This window comes from Homo sapiens, chromosome X, assembly GCF_000001405.40.
Source record: "Homo sapiens chromosome X, GRCh38.p14 Primary Assembly".
Lineage (NCBI taxonomy): Eukaryota > Metazoa > Chordata > Mammalia > Primates > Hominidae > Homo > Homo sapiens.
Window position 1 is genome coordinate 153,395,639 of NC_000023.11, and position 17,641 is coordinate 153,413,279.

General features: G+C 55.2%; 2 protein-coding genes, 1 long non-coding RNA gene and 1 pseudogene across 9 annotated transcripts in view, besides 3 other annotated features; 2 read left to right on the forward strand and 2 right to left on the reverse strand.

The window, feature by feature from the left end:
* Positions 1–17,641, reverse strand: part of PNMA6E (PNMA family member 6E) — an 18,366-nt gene continuing 725 nt past the window's right edge. The window contains exons 1-3 of one of the 4 annotated variants that reach the window (NM_001351293.2): positions 5,606–5,712; positions 3,069–3,282; positions 1–2,234 (exon numbers count right to left, since the gene is read on the reverse strand). In NM_001351293.2, coding sequence (NP_001338222.1) covers positions 1,268–2,234; positions 3,069–3,211 — 1,110 coding nt within the window. In that variant the 5' untranslated portion in view covers positions 3,212–3,282; positions 5,606–5,712 and the 3' untranslated portion in view covers positions 1–1,267. Of the gene's footprint in view, positions 3,283–5,031; positions 5,059–5,605; positions 5,713–17,641 lie in introns of those variants that run through there. The other 3 variants (NM_001351294.2, NM_001367770.1, XM_047442374.1) reach the window with 3 other exon arrangements.
* On the forward strand, positions 5,812–10,784 carry LOC105373379 (uncharacterized). The gene is made up of 3 exons (XR_938538.3): positions 5,812–6,024; positions 10,008–10,101; positions 10,287–10,784. It is a non-coding gene; the product is annotated as an uncharacterized LOC105373379 (long non-coding RNA).
* On the reverse strand, positions 8,395–8,503 carry RN7SL667P (RNA, 7SL, cytoplasmic 667, pseudogene; annotated as a pseudogene).
* Positions 15,630–15,879: a silencer, noted in NCBI's record as "silent region_21061". NCBI's record gives its function as "represses an Ori minimal core promoter by ATAC-STARR-seq in GM12878 lymphoblastoid cells {active_cell/tissue: GM12878}" and the evidence as "EXISTENCE:reporter gene assay evidence [ECO:0000049][PMID:35858748]".
* Positions 15,834–17,641, forward strand: part of ZFP92 (ZFP92 zinc finger protein) — a 15,010-nt gene continuing 13,202 nt past the window's right edge. For 2 of the 4 annotated variants that reach the window (NM_001386945.1, NM_001136273.2), the window contains exons 1-2: positions 15,834–16,065; positions 16,327–16,375. The gene's annotated coding sequence lies outside the window, so the exon portion shown is untranslated. The remainder of the gene's footprint in view (positions 16,066–16,326; positions 16,376–17,641) is intronic. The other 2 variants (NM_001386944.1, NM_001386943.1) reach the window with 1 other exon arrangement.
* Positions 15,940–16,079: a silencer, noted in NCBI's record as "silent region_21062". NCBI's record gives its function as "represses an Ori minimal core promoter by ATAC-STARR-seq in GM12878 lymphoblastoid cells {active_cell/tissue: GM12878}" and the evidence as "EXISTENCE:reporter gene assay evidence [ECO:0000049][PMID:35858748]".
* Positions 16,142–16,352: a silencer, noted in NCBI's record as "fragment chrX:152677238-152677448 (GRCh37/hg19 assembly coordinates)". NCBI's record gives its function as "represses an EF-1alpha promoter that drives an FKBP-Casp9 reporter gene in an ReSE screen in HepG2 liver carcinoma cells {active_cell/tissue: HepG2}" and the evidence as "EXISTENCE:reporter gene assay evidence [ECO:0000049][PMID:32094911]".

A 17,641-nucleotide genomic window follows, 5' to 3' on the forward strand; every position in this document is an offset into this window, starting at 1 on the left:
TGGAACACGGAATGAAATTTATTGAAGAGAAACATATACTGAAACTATTGAAGAGAAGGAAACCACAATACAGAGAGAAACTGTAAACAGCCACCACAGGACACAGGTCCCAGGCCCCCTCCTCCTGGGGTTCCTGGCAAGGCACGTCATCTGCTCCCCCTCCCGCTGCTGCCCCCGCTGCCACCTCCCTCCTTCCCGAGGGCCCCAGGGTCTGCCTTTTGCCAGGACAGTGGACTCTGGCAGTGTCCACTGGCTTCAGGGAGCCCCCTCCTGAGCCCATCCCTATGGCCTTCACAGGACAGTCACAGAACACTGGGAAACACCAGGGAACACCCCACCAGGCTGAAGAAACTGAGTCACAAGTAACAACAGGGGTGAAACGCCAAAGCATAGTTCTTGTGGATCCTCACGCAGCCCCGCTGTGCCCCGGGTCCGGTTCTTCTTCCCGCAGTCAGGGTCACCATCGTGGTCACGGGGTGAGCGTCCGCCGTGCCCTGGTGCCTCCTTCCCGCCATCTCCTGGGACTGCGCTGGGGGTCTCCGGGGAGAGGCTGCTCAGAGAAGAACACACGCAGCTCCACGAGAACAAGCAGCCCCTGGCCTAGATCTACGCCAGGAAAGCAGAGGTGGTGCTCACGATGCAGGACAGCAGCAAGCAGAGCCTGGGCTCGCAGGAAGCTCACAGCACGTGCCCCGGGCCCAGAGGTGGCCGCCTGCATGGGCGCACAGTACATGACTTTTCGCAGAAATGATGGCTAGCAGTGGGTGGGCGTCTGCTGGGCGCGTGGGTCACACAGGTGAGGGTGAGCTTCCCGGAACAGAGGGCAGCCTGCCCCGGAGATGGCAAGTGGGCTGACCCCTCTTGAGAGACCCAGGCAGCTGGCAACCTTGAGAGGGCCTCTTTCCCCCTGTCTCTCCCAACTCACGGCCTGGGTTGGGGGCAGACATCTTCAGGTGCCCCCACCCAGGCCACAGCTGCCCACTCAGGGCTCCCTCCAGGCCAGCCCCCCGTGGCGGCAGGGTTTGGGGCTGGGGCTGGGTGTGCTGGGTGCAAGGGAGCGGGGGGGCGCCTCTCCCCACCCCATTTTGTATCAAACGTGGTCATCCGGGTCACAGGGAAGGAATGGGGGTGGTGGCCAGAGCCCCTTGGGGGAGGTGGGGGGCCCTTACTCCTGAATGTGGGGTGAGGGACTGGCCCTGGCCTGGCCTCTGTCTGCCTCCAAGGCGCTGCTGCCTGAGAGGAGAGGAGGCCCCGGGGCCCTAGGAGCCTATTTGCCCTGGGAGGACTTGGGCTGGCCCTCGTCCCCGGCCCCATCCTCATCCTCGTTTTCCGGCTCCTCCAAGATGGTCTGGAGCCCCTCCAGTGGGGGTTTCCTGGCTTCCTGGCCTCTCACCTGGATGAGGCCCTCTGGACCCCAGCTAAGACCTCTTGGGAACACCCAGACAGCACTGCTCATCCGGGCTGGGGAGGAGCCCCAGGGGACCTCTATGGGCCTTGCCTGACCTAGGCCTTCGGGGCCTGCAGGGGCACTTTCACCTTCCCCAGCGGCAGGGGCTCCCCTTGCAGCCTCTTTGGTGGCAGAAGCGGCCTCGGCAGCATCTTCTGCTCCGGGACCAGCCTCGCTGGCATTCCCCTGGGCTGGGGAGGCCTGGGCAGCAGCTGGGTCTTCACTCTCCACTGGGGCCGCTGCCCAGGCCACACCCTGCTGGCTCCTCGCTGGGAAGGCTGCCCATGCCTCCATCTCCCGGATGAGCCGGAGCAGCCCCAGGAAGCCAGGTGGCCTCTTCTCCAGCTGCATCCCTCTCAGGGTATCCTGGAGTGCCTCGCTGGGGCGGGCCCAAGACAGCACCTGCTGTAGTCGCAGGTAATTGGCCAAGGCTGGGCAGACGGCCCCCTTCTCCACAGCCCTCTGCAGCAGGCCTTCCAGGCGCACCACGAAGGCAAACAGCCCCTCCTGGGGCCCCTGCGTGCAGGTCAGGAACTTCAGCCTCGAAGTCATTCGAGTGTCCTGGTTCCTAAATACCTGCCCCAGCGCCGCCAGGCAGTCCAGCGCGGACAAGTTGGTATCTTCCTCCAGGAGGCCGCTCACGACTTCCAGGGCCGGGCCGCCCAAGCTCTCCAGCAGCCACCTCTTCTTCTCCCTTTCCGACGCATGGCACCACAGCTGCAGCATATCCTTGGCATGCTCCACCCAGCTCTCAAAGGACTCTTCCTCGCAGCCTGGCTGCTCCCTCCTGGAAAAGGGTCTCAATTCCCGGTAGGCCCTGTTTTCCAGCACAGGCTGTAGGGTGCAGCGCCAAGGCTGGACCCAGGCTTTTGTTACATTTGTCCCTCCTGCTTCACCCACAGCTCCTGCCTCACCTGCAGCTCCTGCCTCACCCACAGCTCCTGCCTCACCTGCTGCTCCTGCCTCACCCACAGCTCCTGCCTCACCTGCTGCTCCTGCCTCACCTGCTGCTCTTCCCTCACCTGCGCCTCCTGCCTCACCTGCTGCTCCTGCCTCACCTGCGCCTCCTGCCTCACCTGCTGCTCCTGCCTCACCTACACCTCCTGCCTCACCTGCGCCTCCTGCCTCACCTGCTGCTCCTGCCTCACCTACACCTCCTGCCTCACCTGCGCCTCCTGCCTCACCTGCTGCTCCTCCCTCACCTGCTGCTCCTGCCTCACCTGCGCCTCCTGCCTCACCTGCTGCTCCTGCCTCACCTACACCTCCTGCCTCACCTGCGCCTCCTGCCTCACCTGCTGCTCCTGCCTCACCTGTTGCTCCTGCCTCACCTGTGCCTCCTGCCTCACCTGCTGCTCCTACCTCACCTACACCTCCTGCCTCACCTGCGCCTCCTCCCTCACCTGCAGCTTTTGCTACTGCTTGACCCTGGGGCTGTGCAGGAAAACTGGGCATATCCTGAAACTCAATAACAGGTACTTGGGGCAGGAAGATCACTTTCCAGGGCCCCCCATTGCCTGGTATTTGATGGGGAATCAAGCTTCGGTTTAAATACTCAGCGAACTCCACCAAGGCTGCCTTGGCCCCGAGCTCCTTTCTGAAGTGCTTGGTGAGTACTCGGTACCTGCCCAGGGGCGACAGGGCAGCCCGCACGGCCTCCTGGAACTCATGTTCCTTGCAGTCATCAGGGATACCCAGGATGAGCAGGGAGCGCTCTGCGTTCGCACCCATCCACCTGCACCAGTCCCGAAGCATCGCCAGAGCCATCGCAGAGGACTTGAGGGAGGGAGCCTGATCAATCAGGAATGTGTGCTGACTGTTGCAGTCTCCGACACAGCCTGTGAGTGCAAAGAGAGAAGCTTGTTTGTGCCAAACACTCACTCCCACCACTCATCTGCCCCTACGTGTGTGGGGGTGAGGGGGCAGGGCTGGAGTTCCTCTGCCTCCTTGTTTTGTCGCTTTGATTTTAGTGAAATTTTGATGGCAAAATTAAATTTATTTGCAAGATACAGGGCTAGTCACATTTTCTATGCTACTTGGTGCCATTTGTAGTAAGTTACTTTTTTTCCCCCACAAAGGAATTGGGAAGCTTATCTCAGTTTTCAAAACTTTTGATAAAAACTTGTTCACAATATTCCCTCTTTATCTTTTTAATGTCTATATGATCTGTAGTAATATCCTGTCCTTCATTCCTGATATTGATTAGTGTTCATTCTCTCTTGTGTGTTGTGTGTGTGTGTGTGTGTGTGTGTGTTGTTTTTTGTTTGTTTGTTTGTTTTTTGAGACAGGGTCTCACTCTGTCACCCAGGCTGGAGTGCAGCAGCTTGATCTCGGCTCAGTGCAGCCTCGACCCCCTGAGCTCAAGCGATCCTCCCACCTCAGCCTCCTGAGTAGCTGGGACTACCGGCACATGCTAACACACGTGGTTAAATTTTTTGTACTTTTTGTAGAGAAGGGGTCTCACTATGTTGCCTAGGCTGGCCTTGAACTCCTGGGCTCAGGCAATCCTCCCGCCTCAGCCTCTCAAAGTGCTGGGATTACAGGCATAAACCACTGTGCCTAGCCCCCTCTCATCTTAATTAGTCTTGCTAGGGTTCATTAATTTTGGTACTCTTTAAAAAGCCTAATATCGGGGTTTACTGATTGTCCTTTTTATCTCTGTTATTTCTTTATTTGACTCATTCTGTGTTTACTTTTGCTCTTTTTCGAGCTTCTTTAAATGGACTGTTCGGCCATTGATTTTATGTTCTTTTTTTCTGTTATGAGCACTGAAAGCAAGAAATTTTCCTCTGACCACTTCCTTCCTTCCAAATGGCTAGTAATTTGGGTAAGTTGAATGTTTTGTGCAGTTTGAAATATCTTGTAAGTTCCTTGGTGATTTCATCTTTGACCCATGGATTTCAAAATATCTAGACATATGTTATTGTTATTAATTTCAAATAAAATTCCACTGTGATCAGAGAACTTATGAAAACGTGCGATCCTTTTCAGTTTCTGAAGATTTTTAAATGGCTCGACATATGGTCTATCTAAGTGAATGTACAATTTGCCCTTGTCATGAATCCGTATTTTCTACAGAGGCCAAGGTCTGCCCCCTCCAACCACTGCAACTCCTGTCGCCATTCCCCACGAAGAGGCGACCTGAAGCCTTTCCAATTCCACCTGTAGGGGGCCAGGCTCCTCACGGCACTGCCACGCCGACAGCCTCCAGGGGGCGCTCACCGTCGCCTGTACCACTGGCCGCCAGGCAGCCTCCGGCTCCGCACCCCGTGCACCCTTAGGCATTGGCCCTCCTTCCAGCCCATCCCCCACCGCACACCGGGGACAGTCCCTTCCTGCCCCCAACGTGCCCTTCCACACTGGGCGCCCCCTAAACCCAGCTGGCAGCACTCCAGTCTAGCCCCGGGCAGCAGGGCGTCCCACGTGCTTAGACATGAGCCTCCCTCTGTGGCCTCCCCACAGCCAGGGGCCCGACAATCCCGCCCTCCACCCCCAAGTCAGGAGCCCCCATAGCCCACAGAGGCAGGGCACCCTCCGCTCTGGTCGGCCCTCCACCGGGCTTAGGAATCACCTCTGCCCTCACCCACCCAGCCCTAGGACCTGACCACGGCACCCGCCAGGGGCCGTCCCCTCTCGCGCCTCAGACCCAGGCTGGGCCGCCCTCCGTCCCGCCCCACGCTTGGAGCCCGCCAGCCTGCTCTCCCACGTGGCGCTCCACAGCCCCCTTGCCCTCCCACCCCAGGGAGCCCCCTCCCGACCCCCAGCCCCACAGCCGGAAGCCCTCGACACCCCCTCACCCCAGCACTGGGCGAGTCACCCTCCCTCTTGCCTCTTCTACCCCGCGTGCTTGGCGACCCTCTCCGCCCAGGGACCCAGGGGTCCTCCTCTGGCCACCCCGCACTGAGGAACCCCTCCCCTCAGCCCTCCTTCCAACCGCCCTCCCGAGGGGGCCTTCCTTGGCGGGAAGCCCACCGTGACAGCCACGCCGCACCTAAACCGGGCCAGGCGGGACCGCCGCCCCCCAGCTCCGCAGCCGGCTCCTCACGGCCTGCCACACCGCCTGCCCCCCCCCCACACCCCGGGAACCTCCTGGGCCGCCATCCTGAGCTCCGGCAACACCTCCTGGGCCTGGGTCCTGGCAAACCCCCGCGGTCTACTCACTTTCTCAAACTCTGGGCAATTCCGGGTCTCTCAGTGGGAAGTCAGATATCTGGGTCTCTCCGAAGGGTCTGAAGAGATCACCTCAGCTCCGCAGCGTGGAAGCGTGTGGCTCTCTGAGGCACTTGGCGCCAACAGTCACCCGGGCTCCCAGAAACCCCTGGTTCTCCCGGAAGCCACAGGGAGTTCCGAAAGAAAGTTCCAGACTGGTGTCGCTATGCAAGGCAAATGATTGGATAGGGAGAGCACAAGAGAGGAGCACGTGGGAATGCACTGTTGTTACCATGACGACTACACGTGAATCAAAAGGTGGAAAGGCTCGAAGCCCAGAAGCGGCAGGCACACCGATTGACCCTCCGCCAATGGAAAGGCCTGCCCACGAGGATCGGCGGAGTACATTTGCAAAGCGAAAGTTCATTGCGGTAAATCGGTCCAATTTTTTCCACTGTTTGCTTTCCAATGTGCTTGGTAATGTCATAAAAAGATCCTATGTTTTGTTTTGTTTTGTTTTGTTTTTTGTTTATTTGGTTTTTGTTTTGTTTTGTTTTTGTTTTTGTTTTTTTAGACTGAGTCTTGTTCTGTCGCCAGGCTGGATTTTTTTTTTTTTTTTTTTTGAGACTCGCTCTGTTGCCAGGCTGCAGTGGCGCAATTTCGGCTCACTGCAACCTCCGCCTCCCGGGTACAAGCGATTCTCCTGCCTCAGCCTCCCGAGTAGCTGGGACTACAGGTGCGCACTACCACGCCCAGCTAATTTTGGTATTTTTAGTAGAGACGGGGTTTCACCATGTTGACCAGGATGGTCTCCATCTCTTGACCTTGTGATCCGCCCGCCTCGGCCTCCCAAAGTGCTGGGATTACAGGCCCTATGTTTTTATTGATCCCTTTTCTAGCAGTAACAATGACTGGGGCAGGAGTGTTAAAATCTCCAATTATAATTGTGAAGATGCCGATTTCTGTCTTTATTCTGTCAACTTTTGTTTTATGTATTTTGAAGCTCTGAAGCTCTGTTATTGGGTGCAAACATATGTATGAATTCGATGTGTTCCTGATTAATTGATCCTTGTATCATTATTACCTTTTATTTTACCTTTTCAGCAATAACATTTTGCATTGTTTTCTAGTGGTTGCTCTAGGGATTCCTATATATATCCTTTACTTTTCACTCTCTACTTACAGTTTACATTGTACCACATCACCTAAATTTAAGACCATTTTCATTATACAGATTACTGCCCCCTGCACCCCGTCCTTTATGCTATAGTTGTCATATATATATCTACATGTTATAAACCCTATAATACATTATTTATAATTTTACCTTAAACTGTCATGTGTATTATAAATAACTTATAAAGATAAAATAAATATTCCTTGATATTTACCCACATATTTTGTTATTCATTTCTACCCAAAGATCGAGATTTCCTTCTTTTCCTTAAGATCGAAAGTCTTTCTGTAGCATTTATTTTAATGCAAGTCTGTTGATGAATTCTCTTAGCTTTCATGTATCTCGAAACATCCTTATTTCACCTTCATTCTTAGGAGTATTTTCCCTGGATATAGATACAGAGTTCTGAGTTGAAAGGATTGTTTCTTCTCTCTCACCACTTTAAAGATCCTGTTCCATTCTCTCTTGGTTTCCATTACTTCTGATGAGAATTCAGTAGAACTTGTGAATGTTCTCTTCTTCTTCGAGTTGCATTTTACTGTTTTCACAATTCACTCATTACTCTTTGTTTTCGGTACTTTGACTGCAATGTGCCTACACGTGTTTTTTCTTTGTATTTATCTTCCTTGGAATTCACTGAGCTCCTTGAATCTGTAAATTATGTCTATCTCCAAATTTTGGAAATTTCAGTCATTATTTCTTCGAGTAGTTTTTCTTCCCCATTCTCTCCCTTCTCTCCTAGGAGTCCATATACACATTCATTAGACCTCTATATATTGTCCCACAGCTCACTGAGGCGCCCTTTTCATTTTTTCCTCTTGGTTTTTCAGAAAAGATTATTTCTATTTATCTGTAAGTTTGCAACTCACCTGTCATCTACAATGTTATTAAGATCATCCAGTGAAGATTTTACTTCCAATGTTGTTTTTCAGTTCAGAACTTACCCTTGGTTCTTTACTTACACTTGCAACTTACACAGTCCTTGATTTATGACGGTTTGACTTATGATTTTTCAACTTTACACTGGCTTTACTGGGACATCACCCCAACCTAAGTCAAGGAGCATCTGGGTTTATCGGGACATTAAATGCATTTTCAAATTACCATATTTTTGACTTACTACTGGTTTGTCAGGACTTAACCACAGTAAGTCAAGGAACATCTATAGTTTCTATTTCTCTTCTGAAATTTCCTATTTGAAAAAATTCATAATCAGTGAGCAGTGAGATGGGTTTAAAAAAAAATGTTAGGTGGCTGGGCATGGTGGCTCACACCTGTAATCCCAGCACTTTGGGAGGCTGAAGTGAGCAGATTGCTTGAGGTCAGGAGTTTGAGATCAGCCTGGGCAACATGGAGAAACCCCATCTCTACAAAAAAATACAAAAATTAGCTGGATGTGGTGGCACATGCCTGTAATCCCAGCTACCTGGGAGGCTGAGATGGGAGGATTGCTTGAGCCTGGGAGGTGGAGGTTGCAGTGAGCCATGATCACACCACTGCACTCCAGCCTGAGTAACAGAGCAAAACTCTGCCTCAAAATAAATAAATTAATAAAGTATTAGAAGCATGCTTCTTTTTTTTTTTTTTTTTACACAGTGTCACTCTGTTGCCTAGGCTGGAGTGCAATGGTGTGATTATGGCTCATTGCAACCTCCACCTCCCAGGCTCAAGCAATCCTCCCACCTCAGCCTCCCAAGTAGCTGGGACTACAGGTGCACGTCACAATGCCCAGCTAAATTTTTTGTATGTTTTGTAGAGACAGAGTTTCACCATATTGCCCAGGCTGGCCTCAAACTCCTAGGCTCAAGCAATCCACCCACCTCAGCCTCCCAAAGTGCTGGGATTACAGGCAGAAGTGTGCTTTATCTCCTTAAGAATATATATTTTTTTAATATTGTGAATTACTAGGGTCATCTCAGAGGTTGGATTCTCTTGAATGCTTTTTTCCTTGAGTATCAGGACAATTCTTGTTTCTTGTAGTAATCTAGCATTATATCCTAGACACTGTCCATAATGAGTTCTAGTAGCTTTGGCTTCTTGGTTTCTGTTATATTTCTCCGAAGATGAGTCATTGTTTGTTATTGTTGTTGTGGTGGTGGTGGTGGTGGCGGTGGTGGTTTGTTGTCCTAGTAGACAACTAAACTAGCTAAACTCACACTAAGTCTCCCCTGTGTTGGGTATCAACTGCAATCTCCAGACTCCGTTTCCACGGTATTGGGCATCAGCTGAAACCTCTGCTCAGTTCTTTTCTTGGACTCTGCCTTGTGTATTAATAGCCCTGGGGTCAGCCAGAGATTTGGGCCAAGTGTACAGGCCAAATACGGGGCTCCTCCACATGGTGCTTCTCTGCTCCCAGGTGATACCCCTCATGCTTTCCCTCTCCCGTGGCCATCCCAAAGTCTACTCTCTGAGTCTCTGAGTTTTGGTCACCCAGCACGGTGTCCTCTGTGGCCCATGCTCACATGTAAGAAACTCACCTAGTGCCAGTCTCTTCTTCGAGGTGTTAACCCCCTATGGTTTCTGCCTCTACTGCTTAGTCCCTCATGCCATCAGAAGGTTTTGTTGTTAGTATTTCATCCTGGTTTCATAGATGTCATCTGTGGGAGGGTTGGTCTGATAGGAGTGACTCCACCATTGCCGAAGGCAGAACCTGACTTAAGTTTTAACAAGATCCCTGGGGCCAACACTATGGCAAGTTTTAACAAGATGCCCCGGATGACAGTTTCGCTGTCGCCTTGTGAGTGACCCTAAGCCGGAACCTCCCAGCTAAGCCACCAGGAGTAATTTGTTATGTAGTGATAGATAACTAAGGCTCTAACCCCCACTTTGCTTCAAGTGTTGTCGCCTCTCCAACCCATCCTCTCATTCATGGGACCTGATGCAGTTATCATAGGTGACTAAAAAGAGGATTTGAAGAATACGTCCACAAACTCTGTGATACTCCCCTTTCAAGAGGTGTAGCTGGATCCCTCTCCCTTTGAGTGGAGTCTAGACTTAGTAACAAAGAGTTCAGCAGAATCTGTGGGCTGTAACTGGCAAGCGTGGCTTCTCAGAGAAGGCAGCGTGTGTCTTGGGTGCTCTCTCTTACCTTCTTGCACTTGTTTCCCCTTTCTCCTTTCCTCCCCCGCCCTTTCCTCCCTCCCTCTCCCTTTCCCCACCCTTCACTCTGTCTCCCCACACACACATAGATCCCCCTGCCTCTCTCACTCTCTCTCTCTCCCTCACCCCCCAAAATAGATCACTGTTTTGCAGGAAGCCCTGCTATGAGCAGCCCTATGGAGAGGCCCACGTGCTGAGGAACTGAGCTACTTGCCAACAGCCATGTAGCCACGTGAGTAAGCCTGGAAGTGGATCCCTCAGCCCCAATTAAGTCTCAGAGGCTGCTGCCCTGGATGAAAGTTTCACTGTTGCCTCATGAGTGACCCTAACCCAGAACCCCTCAGCTAAGCCATTGGGAGTAATTTGTTATGTAACAATAGATAACTAATACTCTAATATCCCCTTAATGCCCAGCAGTCTACAGTGGCCGGTGAGATTTCCTCCAAGCCTACTCTTCTGAGCAGCATTGTCTTAGTAAATGGCACCAAAAGTCACCCAGGGAGGCATTGCCTGGTGGGCCATCAATCCCGCAAGTAATATGAAGCCTCTAAATATTCATAACCATGAACAGACACCAATCTTAGAGGAAAGATGAAGTAAGAAGAGTCAAAAAAGGACTCTGCAGAGAGCTGCTCAAGTTCTGAGAAGCAAACCAAGGGCCAGTGGCATCCTGAGCCCGGGGAGGGGAGCATTTAAAGCAGCGGGAGATTCGACGGCATCGGCGGAGAGCTAGTCCCTCAGGGTTCTCAGTTGCACATAACAGGAACAGACTGGCTGATGGAAGCCCAGGGAAAACCAGCTAGAGGGTATCCCACAGGCGTACCTCGGGCCTCACACTCAGTGGGTAGTGGGTGTATCTGATTGGTAGAGCCTGGGTTAGGTGCCCATGCCATAGCTACAAGGGAAGCTGGGAAAGCCCAGACATTTTCCACTCCTCTTTTGGGAGGGAAGCTCCCCATCAGGTGAGAGAATTGCATGTGCAAAGGTCCTGGAGCTGGAAGGGACATGGAGAGTACTGGGCTGAAAGGTCGGTGTGACTGCAGGGTTGGGGATGCCACGCACCAATGCTGCGGAGGCCAGACAGTGCAGACCTCATGGACCTCAGAGGGGTTTCATCTTCATCCTGAAAAAGCTGAGAACTCACTGACAGATGTGAAGCCAGTGCTGCACATGCACGCACAGACATGTATTTGTGTGAGTGACACGAACTCATTGCATTCTAAAGAGTTATCTCTGGTTTCTTTGTGGAGAAATTATTTGGGGACCAGAGTGGATGCAGTAAGACTAGCTAAGGGTGGCTGGAGTTGTCCTGTGAGAGATAACTAGCCTAGATGACATCAAGGACAGTGTCATGGAGCAGATAGAGAGGGTCCGTTTAACAGACCTAAAACGTGCAGAGAACTAACCAGACACCGTGAATGATGGGAGGTGGAGGGTGGGCAAGGGATGTATCCCCACTTTCTGGCCTTTGACACAGGCGTGTTCCATTCACTGCAGCTGGGGACTTGGTAAGAGCGCTAGCCCTGGCACGAGATCACAAGCTCAGTTTTGGATGTGTGCATTGGCGCATCCAAGTGCAAATACCAAAAAAGCAGGTGCATCCAGGTGGGGACATGCCAGGCACTGAGGCTGGGGAGGCCAGCCAAGAGGCCAGGCACAGCCACGCTCCAGCTCAGCCTCCGGGCCAGTAGATGGCTAAGCCTTCTCCTCTGCCAGGAAGTCTTGGCAAGGCTGGGTGACTCTTCAGCTCCTTACCCTTGGTGACCCTCCTGGCTTTGGTCCCTATCACCTGAAGGAATGTCTGGAGACTAGACACTGCTGGCTGCCCTCCCAGCAGCCATTCCCCCTCTTTTTTCCTCAGTGGACTCCTGCTTGTTTTAGAGTCGGGGTCTCGCTCTGCTGCCCAGGCTGGAGTGCAGTGGGGCCATAATAGCTCACTGCAGCCTCAAACTCCTGGGTTCCAGTGATCCTCCCACTTCAGCTTCCCAAGTAGCTTGGACTACAGGTGCATGCCACTGTGCCCAGCCAAAACTTTTTTATGTTTTGTAGAGATGGGGTCTCACCGTGTTGCCCAGGCTGATCTCAAACTCCTGATCTCAAGCAGTCCTCCTGCCTCAGCCTCCCAAAGTGGTGAGATTACAGGCATGAGCCACCATGCCCGGCTAGAAGCCCCTTTTTGTTCCAGCCTCCGTCCCTCCCCCACGTGGCTCAGGGCATGGTGACTCCCATCCCCAAATCCACAGGTGGCTCCTGATTGGTTCAAATGCAGCTGCACATGTGTTCCTGGGGCAACTGTTAGTGATCCGAGCAGTCCATGGCCCAAATGGCCCAGTCAGACCAAAGGGAAGTTTTCAGATTTTATCCACAGAGGAGGGGCCTCTCTTTCCTTGAGCAGGAACAAGGAAGCACGTGATCCCAGCGGACACTGACAGACATTCTCTAGCACACAGGCAGCAGCCTGAAGCCAGAGCCAAGACTTGAGGTTGGAAAGAGGCTGGGGCCTGGGTGACAGCTCAGGACAGTGAAGCCACTGGAGGGGGCACCATAAGGATAGCTGTGGCCACACTGGGAGGGATAGTTGAGAAACAGTTGTGATCAGACTGGGAGAGTCAGTGAAGGGAGAGGGAGGCCGTCCTGGGAGGGACAGTGAGAACGGCAGTGGCCACACTGAAGAGGATCAGCAGAGGGCCAGTGGTGGCTCCCCTCTGGGACATTCAGGAACCGGAGCCACAGCTGCAGCCATGAGAGAAGCTGCCACTCAGGCAGTGGACGGCCACCTCCTGGGGCAGGTGCCCAGCTGAGCTTCAGGGCCTCAGGCTTCTGAAGGCCAAGACAGCCTGCCCTGAGGCCTGGGCATTGCTCCCTCCTGGCACCCAGGCCTGACACTATTGCCCCTACCGGCCTCATCCTGAGGGTCCCATCAATCCTCAGGGGTCGCAGGGTTGGACAAACTGGCCCACATGACACAAGGCATTCTCCATGCCATGAGCCACGCAGTACTCCGACCCTTCTGCAGGGTCAAGGAGCAACCTGCGTGACCTGAGGCATTGCCGCGTGCATTCCATCCCCTGCTTTCCCCAGAGCCACTGTCTCCTGGGACTGCAGCCTGGACATCCCCTCCCCCACTCACTGGCTGCACCCCATCTACAGCACTTTTCTGGCAGGGGGGCGGAGGCAGGAGTTGCAAAAACAGCTCATCCAGTCCAGACACACATCCTGTCCCCACAGGAGCTCACAGTCGCCATCACCCTCAGTGGATATCTGAGGCTGGCAGCATATTCCCAAGGCTCTGCATGCAGCCCAAGACCACCTCCCTCCAAGGGCACTCCAGCAGAGCAGTCAGCCACAGCCCAGCTGACCCCTGGGAGAGGTGCCGCCCTGACCCCTGCCCTGCTGTGAAGGTGGCTTACAGCCCCCTTTGGCCTGGCCTTCCCCAACTTGCTCACTCACTTCCCACAGACAGCTTGACGTCACCCTGGACCTCCCTGCTGGGCCCCTGGGCACCTGCTGTGGCTTGGGAGACCGGCTGCCAACCTGCCCCCAGGAGGGGGCTGCCTGTGACCTGGCGGGTGCCCACGGCACAGTGGGCAGCACCACAGCTGTGGGAAAGCGCCCACTCCCCTGCCCCCCGGCTACCTCACCTGCCCGTCCTGGGCCAGCCTAGGGCAAGGGGAGAACGGGAGACCAGAGCTGGGGAGCAGCCAGGCCAGCCGGACTGTGAGAGGGCTAGGTGTGGTGGGAACCCAGGGAGGAAAGGGGACCTCCCCACTTCCAGACCCCAACTCTTCCTCCCCAGGTTCTGAATCCGGGTTTGCTGCCCGGGAGGCCCTGCCCCTGCCTAAAGCAGAGATGGAGATACCTCTCTCAGGAGGCCCCAGGCCTCAGGGCCACAATAAGGGGAGTGGAGAGGAGGAGAGAGGGCCGTGTGAGGACCGCCGGGAGGGCCCGTGTGCCCTGTCATCCTCTCTAGGTTGGGCATGGGTTTGCAGTTCTTTACAGTAAAAAACTGAAAACATGCTGGAAGGGAGATTGATCTCCCGACAGGATCGTGGGCTTGTCAAGGTCGTCTTCACTTGCTCTAGGCGTCGCGCTCTTCAGCTGACCGCGCTGCCGCCTCCACCACCAATGTGTCCACACACGCGGTGCCAACAATGGTGCACACGGTGACCCCTGCTCCCCCATTTCTAAGCTTGTGTGGGACCCGCAGCCCAGTGCACATGGCCCTTTCTCTTGCAGTGGAAGTGGGGTGCACTCCCAGGGGCCCCCTTCCCCTGCCCGAGGCACACACTCCCCAGCCTCCATGCAGGTTGGCCGCTCACACTCTCTGGAAATGAGCCAAGGACAACAGGAGCTGCCTTCCCAAGGTCGCCCCAGTCCCCACCAGGTTACTGGATGATGCGGGTGCAAAGGTCCCCCCGCCCCCTGCCTCCATGGCCCAGGAGGACTCTGGGCTCAGCCTATTCCCTCGTGTCGGAGTGGCCTGGGCTGCCGCAGCAAATGACCACAAACCGCTTGGCTTCAGCCAACAGGAATTGACTCTCCCAGTTCTGGAGGCCGGAGTCCAGAATCGGGCGCTTCCTCCGGTGGCTCTGGGGGTGGATCCACCCACCTCTTCCAGCTTCTGGGGGCCCTGGGCACTCCCCACCTTCGCCTCCACATGGCCTTCTCTGTGTCTCTCTCTCCTGTCTCTTCTAAGGAAACTGTCCTTGGATTTGGGGCCCCCTGGATCATCTGGGTTGCTCTCATCTCCACATCCTCAATTTAATGACATCTGCAGACACCCTTTATTTGCATATAAGGCCCTGATCACAGTGCCTGGGTGTTAAGATATGGATGTATCTTTCAAGGGGCACCAACCAGTCACCCCACAACATCTCAACAGCCCAGATCCCAGCCTGCCCAGCCAGAGCCCCGGTGAAGGGACAAGCTTGGGCACCAGGACACACAGCTGAGGGCCACCGGGAGACTCCCTGCCTCTGCGCCGGGAAAGGGGCTCCGAAGCTCTCCCTGCACTGGGCCCCCTGGGGGCCCTGCTCCCTGCAACCGGAGGTTCCCTGAGCAGCGTCCTCGCCCTTCCCCTATGCCCCAGATGGACGGCTTTTGTTCTGGGAGCGCAGGCTTGCCGAGGGCTCCTTGCTGCGGGCTAAGTGCTCCTGGCCAGGGCCCAGGGTCTCTGAAGAAAAGAAACCCCTGAACTCTGGTTCAAAGGCCAAGGAGGCTCCCGCCTCGTGCTCAGTTCCCAGTGGCCGGGGCTGGGATATGTGATGTGGCTGATTTTTCCCTGTTGCTTTTCTTTTACGGTCTTTTTCATACGCTTCACTATTTGTCAAAGGTCTCACAATTGTCATCAGAGCAATATCCCAACCAACCTTGGATTTCACTCCCTGCTCTACCACGTGGAGCATGACCCTTTGGAAAATGACAAACTCCAGGTGCGATCCCCTCCGGTAACCTGAGGGAAAGCCAGATGCACCCAGAGGGTCTTGGCTTCTTGCACTTCCCTGACCTCCTTTTTCCCCTCCTCGTGTCTCCACACCATGCTCCCTGAGTCACCTTTCACCTCTTCCCCGCTCTCTGATCCTTGCCATCCTGGGTCACTCCTTTACTGAGTGACCATGGCCGGGGTACTTGGTGCTAGCTGCCCTGCAGAGGTCCCGGGGACCCCAGCGAGATGAATAACTGAATGAATGGACGTAATAACGCCCAGGGGTCTAGCCCATGGGAGGTGTTCTGCCAACGCGGGTCCCTCCCGTCCCCTTCAGGAGCCGCGGTGCGCTGACCACTTCGACCCCAGCCTTCAGAGCAGCCCAGACAGAAAGCGGAAGTGCCTCGGGGCGCGTGGGGAGCCAGGCCAGACGCCCCTGTGGGGCGGGCGCGGGGCGGGCCGCCATCCCTCTGCGCCGCGCATGCTCCATGCCCCCCCCACAACGCGCCCCGTTCCCACGCTGCCGCCGCCCCGGCCCCGCCCGCTCCCGGCCCGCTCGTCGGCGCACCAGACTGAGACTCCCCTTCAGGACGCTCTTCGCGAGCGGTACCCAGAGGCGAAGTCGAGACAAGCCCAGGAGCCCCCACCCCCCGCCCGCGTTTCCTGGGGACGCGGCCTCGGAGGGCTTCTAGGAGGAGGCGGCGGCCTTGGCCTCGGGCCTGCCGGGAGCAGGAAGGGAGGCCGACTCCCTCGGCTGCCCGCCGAGCCCAGGTAAGAGGGCCGAGCTGGGCCGCAGGGGTGCGGGTAAGCGGGTAAGGGGCCCGTCTCGGCAGGGTGCAGGTGTCGAGGGGGACGAGGGAGCTGCGGCGGCGGCGACAAGCAGGGACTCCCTGGGAGGCGGGCTAGCACTGAGTGGCCGGACCAGCCCTCGGGGCCGCCCCGTACCAGGGGCGCCAGGGGAAGAGCCATCCAGGGCTGGGCGCTGGGAGCTGCGGCCCGTGTCTGTCAATTTCTCTCCTGATTGGTTTCCAGCCACCGGTCCCGAGGCTGGCTAAAGAGCATCCTGTCGCTGATCTGCCTGGTGAGTTTGGATTTTGCACCTCTGGGTGTGAGAGTGCTGGGCAGACTGGCATTGTGAGGTTGTGGCACCGCTGCCCAGGCACCGGCCCTGAGGGTCTCCAGATCGGGGCAGGATGCCCAAAATTGTGCTCCAGAGGGTATCAGGTGGGGGCTGGTGCCTCGCGGTGGTGCGGGATGTTGACCAGGTGACTGGCATGCCACGGAAAAGCATCAGCTTAGCCAAGCCAAGGAGGAAGCGAAGGGCCGATGGAAGTGGTGGGCAAGGGTGAGAGAAGGAGCCAGCTGAGCTGGGCAGAAAGCGGCACCCAGCGCTTCCCTACAGGGCTAGTTGTGACTGATTCACTCCCACAGATACCTCCTGAGCAAGCATTTGAGATCTGCCAGGGACACGGCGGTAGTAAGCCCTGCCCTGTTGTTCTCGTTCTAGTGGCTGAGCGCAGACAATAAGCAGAAAATGTTTTCCATTAGTAATTACAGAGTCTGTTAAAAGGCAGTAAGAGCCGGGGAAGGGAGGTCTGGTTGCCAGTTTAGGTGGTTAGAATAACTTATTCTAGAATAAGTCTCATTTCTACCAAAACTTGAAGGTGGTAAAAGAGCGAGGCATGTGGTTATGGTTTTGGAAGAGCATTCTAGGCACAAGGAATCCCCTGTACAAAGGCCCTGAGGCAGGGGTGGCCTGGCTCAAGGGAGCAAGAGTGTGGCAGGAGCAGAGGGAGGTGCAGAGGTGGGAGGAGGGTTGGGCAAGGTCAGGAAGGGTTGTGTGAGTTTACTCTGAGTGACACGGGCATCCCAGGGATAACTGTGAGCAGAGAAGGACAGGACCCGACCCGCCTGTTAGAAGGATCCCTCAGCGAGCAGCCTGGGTGGCCCCCTTTTGGCTAGGTTACCCTCTGCCCCCAGAGGGCAAGGCCTGCCCAGCTGCAAGGAAGCTCCTCAGAGGACTTTTTCAGGCTAGGCTGCATGGAGGGCCCCGGTCGACCCATGCAGCACCCAGGCCGGGCCTTGGCTCTGGGTTTCTCCAGTTTCCTTCTCCAGCCGTTCTGCCAGGTGGGCAGCAGGTGACTAGGGCCTCGGGCCAAGGAAAGCTGATGGGGCTGAGAGAAGCAAGATCCCCCAGGACGGAAGAAACCCAACCAAAGTGGTGATGCCTGTCCCTTGCTGTGGATGAAAAAGCCCAAATTCCTGCTCCCACCGAGTGGGACTGCTGGATGCTTTTCTGATTGTTGTTTGTTTGTGTGGGTTCTTTTTTCTTTTTCTGGGAATATCT